The 12,008-nt window shown below is 41.6% G+C and overlaps 1 annotated feature.

Annotated features, from left to right (window-relative positions):
• Window positions 3,942-4,137: a silencer, noted in NCBI's record as "fragment chr3:57218732-57218927 (GRCh37/hg19 assembly coordinates)". NCBI's record gives its function as "represses an EF-1alpha promoter that drives an FKBP-Casp9 reporter gene in an ReSE screen in K562 erythroleukemia cells {active_cell/tissue: K562}" and the evidence as "EXISTENCE:reporter gene assay evidence [ECO:0000049][PMID:32094911]".

Here is a 12,008-nt window from a genome sequence, read left to right on the forward strand (position 1 = left end):
TCCACCCGCCTTGGCCTCCCAAAGTGCTGGGATTACAGGCATGAGCCACTGTGCCAGGCCTAATGAAACTATAATCTGTGTGTACATCTCTTTTCCATCTTTAGTCTTATAGTATCTAGTCAAAACATTGGTTTCCAGAGTTACCCAAGTTAGGTCTTTTCTTAACTATTTCCAGTATGGTTATACTATTCGTTTGGGATATACTGAGGTTCACTGGTGTTGGTGTTCCATTTTGGGTTCTCCTCTTGTCCTGGTTGATTTAAATTAGTTATTTATTTTGGGTGTATGTGAAGCATTACTGTGGTTCTAAGAGTCACAGCAACATAAAAGGATCTACTCAGTCTGTAATTCCAGCACTTTGGGTGGCCAAAGCAGGCAGATCACTTGAGGTCAGGAGTTCGAGACTAGCCTGGACAACATGGTAAAACCCCGACTCTACTAAAAATACAAAATTAGCAGGGCATGGTTGTGCATGCCAATAATCCCAGCTACTTGGTGGCTGAGGCGTGAGAATCACTCGAACCCGCGAAGCGGAGGTTGCAGTGAGCCAAGACTGTGCCATTGCACTCCAGCCTGGGTGACAGAGCTAGACTCTGTTTTATATATATATATATATATATATATATATATAAAATATACATATATAATATATAAACTATATGTTCAGTATTTATAGTACATATATGATATATATTATATATATATATATATATATATACTCAGAGAAGTGTTGTGCCCCTGTATTCTCAGCACCCATTCCCATTATTCCCTCCTTCTTTCCATCCCATCCCCATCCACTCACTCTCTATAAGTAATCAGACTTTTTGGCTTCTGGTTCATCTCTACTGGATTTCATTTGCACAAATAAGCAGATGCATGCACATTTTCTTGTATCCCTTTCTTTATATCATAGATACTCTTTCGCAGTTTATTAACCCCATGTTTTAACCAGATGATGTATGGGAGGTCTAAAGATGAGTCTTAAGCCTTCCTAGGGAGTAAAGACATAGGTTCATATTCCTCTTGTTCCCTACTTTGTTTGGAGCCCAGGCTGTGTCCATCCCAAAGTAGATAAGAAATATTTACTGGAGTTGACCACTGAAAGTAACATTGGAAGACCACAGAAATGGCCATTTCTATTAAAATAAAACATATGGATAATCTCTAATTTGTAATGCACAGTGATTCTACTTCTTGATGTTTAACCTCAGAAAAAAATTCATATCTGTGCACAGGTAGATATATACAAGCTGTTTTTGGTAACTATCTTAATCCATTAAGGCTGCTATAACAAAATACCATAGACTGGGTAGCTTAATAACAACACAATTTTATTGCTTACAATTCTGGAGGTTAGGAAGTCAAGGATTAAGGTGCCAGCAGATTTGGTGTCTAGTTGTTACAGGATCTTCGGGGTGTTGATTTTCTGGCCAGAAACCTCTGTGGCCGCGGCACCTGAGTTCTTGTCCTGCATCCAGGAAGAATGAGGTACACAGACAAGTGAAGGGTGAAGAAAATGAAGATGAACTTTATTGAGTGTTACAACAGCCCAGAGGAGACTTGCAGTGGTTAACTCCTCTCCGTAGGCAGGTCATCCTTCAGTGTTCAGTTCTCAGCAGAGAGGAGGCCCTGGGGATGGTAGCTCCTCTCTGCAACTGGTTGTCCCAATGTCTACAGCTCTCAGCAGAGAGGAGGCCCTGGAGAGGGTGGCTCCTCTCTGCCAGCAGGTCATCTCTGCAGCTTTCAGCAGAGCCAGTAGCTCCTCTCTGCTGCTGGTTGTCTTGTCATCTCCAGCTATCAGCAGAGAGGGTAACTCCTCTCTGCAGCTGGTCATTCCTTGTCTCTCTACCCTCTTTGTCCTCTGGCCATTGTCTGCACTGCTCTGGCTAAACTCCGGGCTTTTATGGACCTCAGAGGGGAAGAAACACATGCCAGTTGGTCCATGAGTGGCCATGGGCCGGCCAGAAGAGGTACCATGAGTCCCCACTCCAGTCCAAAGGACTGGCAGACTGGCCCCCAGCCTTCAGGCCCTCCCTGGCCTGAAGGTGGGGTCTTACTGGAAACCTGCCCCCTTCCACCCAGGAATCAATCTGCCTCCTGCTGCGATTCATGGCCCCTGGGGCTCGGCCCAAACCCTGCTCCAAGATTGGAGCAGGCACCAGGAGTGGAGAGAGGCCAGGCAGCAGAAGCAGACAACCCCAAGCCTGCAGGGACTTGCGGGGGAGCGGGGGGTTCTTCCTGGGGTGCAGGAAGGGTGCAGGCTGCAGAGACACCCGGGTCCTGCACCTGGGTTTGGGCAGCTGCAGTGGCACTCGGGGAGCTCCCACTCCAATTCAGAAGGGGTGGGCCTCCCACCGGCTCCATGGAGTGTGCAGCAGAGTGGTGCCTCCCCGTTGCAGCCAGCATGATGGCAGCAGCCACTGCCATCATAGTGAGGACCCATTTCCTGGTTCATAGATGGTTCCTTCTTGCTGTGTCCTCACATGGCAGAAGGGGAAAGGGAGCACTCTCAAGCCTCTTGTATAAGGGCACTGATCTGATTTATGAGGGCGCCACTCTCATGATCTAATCACTTCTCCAAGGCTTTACCTCCTAATACCATCATTTGGGGGACTGGGATTTCAATATTTGAATTTTCGGAGACAAATATTCAGCCCATAGCAATAGCACTATTTTTAATGGCGGGACAAACAACAACAACAACAGAAACAACCTTAGTGTCTGTCAAGAGAGAAATGGCTGAAAACACACTGTGGAACACCCACCCTGTCACACTACACAGTGCAATAGGTTTGTTTGTTTTAACAAGGTACTGCTACGAGGAGCTTAGAAAAAGCCCTGAGGCATATTGTTGAGTGGAGGAAAAATGCTAATTATAGAATAAGTATGCTAAAATACCATTTATGAAAAATCAACAAATAAATAGAACTACAAAGCAATGCCACATGTTTTATGTGGGTACATACCCCTGTGTAAAAATCCATAAGAAAAAGATTTTGGAAGCAAAGATATCAAACTGAAAAAGGTAGTTTTATTGGAGGGAGGAGACTGGGGGTTTGGGAGGAAGGGTCTCAAAAAGAGCTTCTATCTGTAATGTGTTCACTTTTTCAATCCTAATGTAATTATTATTTGTATAATTAAAAACAAACAAGTACAACAAATAAGCAAAACAGACTACATTAATTAGACCTCAAAACCCTTGAAAAAGTGACTACAATCTATTGCAGAAGCACGCAGACTCACTCAGTATCAGTATCTTCCTCCTACAGAAAATCCTGGAAAATGACAGAGTCTCCCTTTACCCCCATATAATGTGAGCGTAAAAATTTCTAAAAATTGCCTGCTTAACTAAGGCTTGTTGTCTGCTAATAAAACCAAGCAGTGCAAGCAAAGAAATAATCTAGAATCTAAAATTGCTGTGAACACCATACACCCACCACCTGCATACTATATTTAACGCTGGACTATTCTTGCTTTCTCACATGCAATCACTGACATGTAAAACTCCACTTCTCTCAATATGCATTGTCTGCTTTGATTCTGTTCTTTGCTAAGCTATAAGATATTCCATGTGAGGAAAACAACTGATGGCTGAGGACGGAGTTCAGGTACTCCAAGTCATTTGCTTTCTATTTCAACCATTTGATGATGAGGTCAGAGAGGAGAAAACATTCTCACACTGAGGTTATTAAATATATTTCTAAAGATAAAAAGTATATAACATACAACATACTTTTCAAGTATGTAGTTAAATTATATTTCCCTTGGGGAAAATGAAAAAGTAAAACTACAGCGTTAGCCTTATTACATTAAAAAAAAAAAAAAAGATTAAGATGATAATGAGCCAGAAAGCTGACTAAGCCACTAATCAAAGACAGAGACACAAATACAATTAGTGTTTCGAGCAAGTTGCTCTGAGGATTCTTGGCTAATCCTGAGACATCTAGAGGCCTCACATGGGGAGCCCCATCCCGCCTTGACATGGGAAGGCACTTCCTGCCACCCGCTCTCTGTTTTTGTGTAGCTCGGGTTAAGACCATGCAAAATAAACAACAGAATTTTGCCCAGGCATCACATTCCCTTCTAGGAGGAAATTACCGTACTCATTTTTTAGCTTCTCTATTTGGAGTATATTTTCCAGTATTTTAATTTTTAAATCCCCTAGCCCCTCTCCTGCCTTTTAGGAAAATTACTTGTGTTTTCTGACCTTACAGACTCAAAGCTATTCCTTTTGAAGGTTTCTTTTTGATTCAGGAAATTTGCACAAACAGCAAAGAAAAAATTCTGCTTGTGCAAAACACATCTGTCCTCATGTAGAGAATATCTGGAAGAATGGCAGTATCTCAGGGTAGTAGGATTGCTGGTGATTAATTTATTTTAATTTTCTGTATTGTTTAATTTTGAATATTGAGAATATTTTATTTTTACAATAAAAAGAACATTTTCGTTTTGGAACAACAACAAAAAATGTGGGGAGGGAATGAGGGATGAAATAACTGGAACAGAAGAAAATGACAACAGGGACAATAAGATGTGCCAGGACTGAGGTGAGCACTCAGACTCCTCACAGACGCAATAGTTGTCCTGCTCCAAATCCATTCCCCTGCCAGGCCACCTTCCCTTCTGGCCCGCACCTCTAGTGACGTCTCCTGTCTGGTCTTCCTGCCTGCTGTTGCTCCTCAATAATCCATCTCTACAGAACAGCCAGAGTGTTTACTTGAAATGAAAATCTGATCCATTATTCCCTCCATATACGACCTTCAGTGGCTTCCAGTTGCACATGGATAAAAACCCAATCTCCGGCCGGGCACGGTGGCTCATGCCTGTAATCCTAGTACTTTGGGAGGCCGAGGCGGGTGGATCACCTGAGGTCAGGAGTTCGAGACCAGCCTGACCAACATGGAGAAACTCCATCTCTACTAAAAATACAAAATTAGCTGGGCGTGGTGGCACATGCCTGTAATCCCAGCTATTCGGGAGGCTGAGGCGAGAGAATCACTTGAACCCGGGAGGTAGAGGTTGTGGTGAGCTGAGATCTCACCACTGCACTCCAACCTGGGCAACGAGAGGGAAACTCTGTCTCAAAACAAAACAAAACAAAACAAAACAAAACAAAACAAAACAAAACACCCAATCTCCTTATCCCACTTAAGGCCCGGCCCCTCCTGCCCTTGCTCCTTCTTCTCCTGCCCATTTTCCTTTTACTCACTTTGTTGATCATTCCTGGAACACTCTTTCCTGCCTCAGGGCCTTTGTACTTGTTGTTTCCTATGCTTTTCCCTCAGCTCCTCACATGTTCCGCCCTGCTCCTCCAGAGTCTCCAGGAATCTGCATTTTCAATATGTATTTCACGTGATGCTCATGCACACTTATATTTCAGAGTTTCTGGATTTGGATGAGTGTTTAAGGGGAAGGGCGTTCAAGAACCAACTTCTGACAGATGCCTAGAGTATAACTATTCTCTCTCAGCCTTTTGCGAGACAAGGTGGGTCCCCTGGACCACGATGCTCCTCAAGAAGGACCTGGGTATGGTATGTCGGCTCATAGAAGGATGGCATTTTAGGGCTTGAAGTGCCCCCACCAAAGGCCAGAATGTCCGACATTCTAGCTAGGAAGATTTTTATTTTATTTTAAATATATAGAGAGACAGGGTCTCATCACTCTGTCAACCACGCTGGAGTGCAGGGGCACAGTCACGGCTCACTGCAGCCTCGACCTTCCAGCCTCGAGCAATCCTCCCACCTCAGCCTCCCAAGTAGCTGGGACTACAGGTGCATGCCACCATGCCTGGCTAATTTTTGTATTTTCTGTAGAGATAGGGCTTTGTCATGTTGCCCAGTCTGGTCTTGAACTCCTGAGCTCAAGCAATCTGCCTGCCTCAGCCTCCCAAAGTGTTGGGATTACAGGCATGAGTCACCATGCCCGGCCCAGGAAGATTTTTAGTGGTGACAATTATGTATTCATCTATTACTAAGCTATACATAAGGTAACCATAACAAATTTGACCTTCCTTTAAAATGGGGTTTGGGGACTGAGATATATTCAGATATTGACTGCCTAAGAACTAGTCACCCTGAAAGGTTCACAGAGGACAAATTATTGGGTCAAATTAAAATGACCTATTGGAAGGTATTGGAAGCATTAAGCAAACACTGAGCTGACACTACAGGCAAGTTCCTATGCTAGGAGTGTGAGGGGAAGCAAGACGGTGGGCCCAGATCTGCCTAGCCTGCCCACAAGGGCTTACAGCCCCTCAACGGAGCTTGTCATGGGGCAAAGTAGATTGAGTAGTTTTATTTTTTATTGTTTTTGAGGAGTTTTTCTATTCCCACCTAGTAGGCAGGTGGTAAGGGTAAGCAGAAGTGAGAACTTCACAAAGAGGCCATGACAAGGACAAGCAGTAAAGAGCCATGACTTTGTTGTCAACGTCTCCTCTCTGTGAGTTCTTTTAGGAACTCTTTCCTCCCTGCCTGTAGTTCTAGGGGGCTGCCAATCAAGGTGGCCCTGTACCAGCCAACCCTCCCATTAGGAGTGATTCTCCAACCCCAGGAGTTGGGTCCATCAGAGTCCTCCCTGGGACGTCTTCGACAGACTCAGAGTCAGGCTCCCGCTCTTCCTGGCTTCCCAAATTGGCCAGAGATGAGCCTTGTGTTGTCCAATTGCATCACCCGCACCCAGTAGAGAAAGCTGAGAATTGCTGGAACCCGGGAGGCGGAGGTTGCAGTGAGCCAAGATTGCACCACTGCACTCCAGCCTGGGAGACAGAGCGAGACTCTGTCTCAAAAAAAAAAAAAAAAAAAGGAAGCCTACTAACTAGAGTTCAATATTTGCTTATAGTTCTTTATCTTTAGTCTGAGGGTATATAGTTGAAACACAGTATGCAAAAGTCACTTGGGTTGGTTTTCCCGCACTCTGCCCACTTCAGTGTGTTTGCATCATTTTGCATTATTCATTTTATTATTCATTTTAATTAATGTCAAGTTCATTGCTTCTGCTAATATTCAAATTTAAGGGATTTCTTTTCTTTCATACTTGTTGGTTTTAATTTTGAGTATGTGAAACATTAATACACCATTAAAAGTATATGCAGAGGCTGGGGGTGGTGGCTCATGCCTGTAATCCCAGCACTTCGGGAGGTGGGAGGTGGGCAGATCGTTTGAGCTCAGGAGTTTGAGAACATTCTGTGCAACATGGTGAAACCCTGTTACTACAAAAAAATTCAAAAATTAGTCGGATGTGGAGGTTCATACCTGTAGTCCCAGCCACTTGGGAGGCTGAGGTAGGAGGATTGCTTGAGCCCTGGAGGTCAAGGCTGCAATGAGTCACAATTGCACCACTGCACTCCAGCCTGGGTGATAGGGTGAGACCCTATCTCAATAATAATAATAATAATAATAATAATAATAATATACGCAGGCAAGTGTAACTCCCCCACCCATCCCTTCCACCTTGTTCCTATGCTCCCATCTCTACCACATATCTCTACTCCCTAAAGTAACCAATCTCGTTTCCTAGTTTATCCTTCCTGCATATCTCTTTTCAAAAATAACCAGATACCTCTAGGTTTTATTTCTCCTTCTTTTCACAATATAGACACTCTCTAGCACTTTTCTTTGCTTGTATGCTGGACATCACTCAACAGTTCGTAGAGGCATCTGAGCTTCTGTACAGCTATGCAGTATACCATCATGTGGCTGTACTAGGGTTTACTCAACCACTCTTCTGTGTATGGGCATTTAGGTTGTTTCTAATATTTTGTAATTCCAAATGTGCTTCAGTGAATAATCTTACGCATAAGGAGTTTTGTGTTGTTGGAAATATTTCTTTCTTTCTTTTTTTTTTTTTTTGAGAAAGAGTCTCACTCTGTCGCACAGGTTGGAGTGCAGTGGTGCAATCTCAGCTCACTGCAACCTCTGCCTCCCAGGTTTAAGTGATTCTCCTGTCTCAGCCTTCTGAGTAGCTTGGATTAGAGGCACCTTCCACCACGCTGGCTGATTTTTGTATTTTTAGTAGAGATGGGGTTTCATCATGTTGGACAGGATGGTCTCGATCTCCTGACCTCGTGATCTGCCCACCTTGGCCTCCCAAAGTGTTGGGATTACAGGCGAGAGCCACCGCATCGGGCCAGAAATGTTTCTTTAGAGTAAACCCTCAGAAGTTGCATTGCCAGATGAAAAGTTAAACATGTATGTAGTTTTGTTAGATGTTATTAGATTTCCCTTCATATGAGTTCTAGCAATTTGCATACTCACCAGCAACATATGAAAGTGTCTGTTTTCCCACAGACTTGCCAGCTGAATGCTTTGTCAAACTTTAAAATTTTTGCTAATGTGACAGGTAAGAAATGGTATCTCAGCGCAGTTTTTAAAAGATGTATATAGGCCAGGTGTGGTGGCTCACACCTGTAATCCCAGCACTTTGGGAGGCTGAGGCGGGCGGATCACCTCAGGCAGGCTGAGGTCAGGAGTTCAAGACCAGCCTGGCCAACATGGTGTAACCCTGTCTCTACTAAAAATATAAAAATTAGCCGGGTGTGGTGATGGGCACCTGTAATCCCAGCTACTTGGGAGGCTGAGGCAGGAGAATCACTTGAACCTGGGAGGCAGAGGTTGCAGTGAACCGAGATCGCACCATTACACTCCAGTCTGGGCAACCTTGAGAGACTCCATCTCAAAAAAAAAATTATAAATATATGTGTATATATATATATGTATATGTGTATATATGTGTATATATATGTGTATATATATACATATATATACACACACACACAAAAACTATCTTTTGGTGCACAGTTCCAGGAATTTTAACATGTATAGATTCAAGTGACCACAGTCAGGACACAGAACAACTACTCCATCCTCCCCCAAAATTCCCTCATGCTGCCGCTTTTGTAGTCAAACACCTCCCCTCTCATGAATCCTGTGTACCACTGATCTGTTCTTCACCCTTATAGCTAGGACTTGTTCAGTGTCATCTACATGTGCGAGTTGTGGACTGCTATAGAATACAACCTTTTGAGACCCGCTTCTTTCACTCAGCATATCTTTGACATTCATCCATGTGTCGTGTGGACCAGTAGTTTTTTTAAAATTTATTTCTGAGTAGCACCTCATTATTTGGATGTATGACGGTTTATAAATGCACTCACCCATTGTTTCCAGTTTTTGCTGATTATGAATGAAACTGCTTATAAACATCTGTGTAGAGTTTTGAAGGTAAATACCTAGAAGTGGGATTACTGAGTCATATGGTAAACATATGTTTAACTTTATAATAAACTGCCAAACTGTCTTCCATAATGGTTGTGCCATTTTGCATTCCTACCAGCAATAGATGAGAGTTCTGGTTGTTCCACATTCTTGTCTAAACTTGCTACTATCAGCTTTTCCCCCCTTCTCCCTAGCCATTCTCATAGGTATGTGGTGGTATTTCATTGTGATTTAATTTGCATTTCCCTAATAGTTAATGATGTTGAACATCTTTTCATATGCTTATTTGTTATCTGTATATCTTTTTTTTTTTTTTTTTTTTGAGATGGAGTCTTACTCTGTTGCCCAGGCTGGAGTGCAATGGCACAATCTCAGCTCACTACAACCTCCACCTCCTGGGTTCAAGTGATTCTCCCTGCCTCAGTCTCCCAAGTAGCTGGGATTACAGGTCCCCATCACCACACCCAGCTAATTTTTTTGTATTTTTAGTGGAGACGGGGTTTCGCCATGTTGGCCGGGCTGGTCTCGAATTCCTGATCTCAGGCGATCTGCCTGCCTTGGCCGCCCAAAGTGCTGGGATATCTGTATATCTTTTTAAATAAGGTGTCTGTTTGAACCTTTTGTTCATATTTATTCCGTTTATCTTCTGAACCAAATGTGTGTGTGTGTGGGGGGGTGCGGTTTGAGACAAGGTCTTGCTTTGTCACCAAGGCTGAAGTGCAGTGGTGCAACCATAACTCACTGCTGCCTCTACCTCCTGGGCTCAAGTGATCCTCCTGCCTCACCCTCCTTTATAGCTGGGACCACAGGTGTGTGCCACCACACCTAGCTACTTTTAAAATTTTGGGCAATAAAGGGTTTCACTTTATTGCCCAAGCTTGTCTTGAAGTCCTGGTACAAGAGATCTGCTCTTCTCAACCTCTCAAAGTGTTGGGATTACAGGCATGAGCCACTGTACCCAGCCTATGATTGTGTTCTACACTGTATATATTCTGGATACAAGTCCTTTGTCAGATATACCATTAGCAAATATTTTCTAGTTTATAGTTTGTTTTTTCATTCTATTAACAGTATCTTCCAAAAAGCAAAAATGTTTCATATTTTGTTGAATTCTATGTTTTTCTTTTACTGCGTTACAGTAAATCTTAAAACCAGGTAGTATGATTGCACCAAATTTTCTGTGATTTTTCAAAACTGTTTTGTCTATTCTAGTTCTTTTGCCTTTCCATATGCTATTATTTTTTAAAAAACAAAAAATCCTGCTGGGATTTTGATGAGAATTGTGTTGAATTTATACATCACTGTGGGGACGATTGACATCTCAACCATGTTGAGTCTTACAATCACTAAATTCAGTATATCTGTCTGTTTATTTAGGTCTTATTTGATTTCTTTCATTAGCTTTTTGTAGTTTTCAGTATACAGATCCTGTACATGCTCTGGAGGGAACTATTTTTTTAAATTTAAGTTTCTAATTGTTAGTTGCTTGTATATAGAAATATGATTGACTTTTGTATGTTGATCTTGCATCCTGCAACCTGGCTAAACTCACTAAATCTCGGCACTTTTTGTAGATACCTTGGAATTTTCTACATAGATAATCATGTTGCTGTGAATAGGGATAGCTTTCTTTCTTTCTTTCCAATCTTTATGCATTTTTTTTGCCTTATTGTACTGGCTAGAATTACAAAGGCAACATTGGATAGGAGTGATAAGGTGGATATTGCATTGTTCCCAGTCTTAGGGGGAAAGAATTTAGTATTTCACCATTAAACATCATGTTAGCTTTATGGTTTTTTTTGTAGATATTTTGTAGATGTTAAGAAAGTTCCCTTCTATTCCTAGTTTGATGAGAATTTTTATCATAAATGGCTACTGCATTTCAATGGATATTGAATGCTTTTCAATGTCAGTTGGTATAATAATGTGATTTATCATCTTTAGTCTATTAATATGGTAGATAACATTAATTGATTTTCAAATATTAAACCAGGCTTGTCATCCCCTAAGTAAATCCCACTTGGTGATACTGTGTTATTCTTTTTTGTATTGCTGGATTTTATTTACTAATATTTTGTTGAGGATTTTTGCATCTTCGTTAATGAGGGATAGTGAACTTGGGCTTTTTTCTTCCCTTCTTTTACTGTCTTTAATTTAGTATCGGGGTAATATAAGTCTCATAAAATGAGTAGAGAAGTGATCTTCTTCTTGTATCTTCTGAAAGAGATTGTGTAGAATTGATGTTACTTCCTCTTTCAATGTTAGATAGAATTTGCCAGTGAAACCATCTGGGCCTGGAGTTTACCTTTTCAGAGGTATAAAATTATTATTTCACATTTCTTTAATAAGTATAGAACTGTTATAGTTATTTGTTTCTTCTTGGGTGGATTTTAGTAGTTTGTAGATTTGATCTATTTCTTCTGAGCTATCAAATGTGCGCATAGAGTTGTTCATAGTATTATCTTATTCTTCTTTTAATGTTGATGTGGTCTGTAGTTATAGCCCCTCTTTCATTCCTAATGTCAGTGACTTGTATCTTCTCCTTTTTTTCTTTGTTAGTCTGGCTAAAGGTTTATTAATTTTATTAAGATTTGTAAAGCATCAGTTTTTGGTTTCATTGACTTTTCTCCATGGTTTTTCTGATCTTTGTCTTCTGATTATTCTGAATTTATTATGCTCTCTTTTTTGTTGTTCTTAAGGTAAAAGGTTAGATTGCTGATTTGAGATCTTTACTAAATTTTTTTTTTTTTTTTTTTTTTTGAGAAAGGGTTTCACTCTGTCACCCAGGCTGGAGTG

Source organism: Homo sapiens, chromosome 3 (assembly GCF_000001405.40).
Source record: "Homo sapiens chromosome 3, GRCh38.p14 Primary Assembly".
Taxonomy (NCBI): domain Eukaryota; kingdom Metazoa; phylum Chordata; class Mammalia; order Primates; family Hominidae; genus Homo; species Homo sapiens.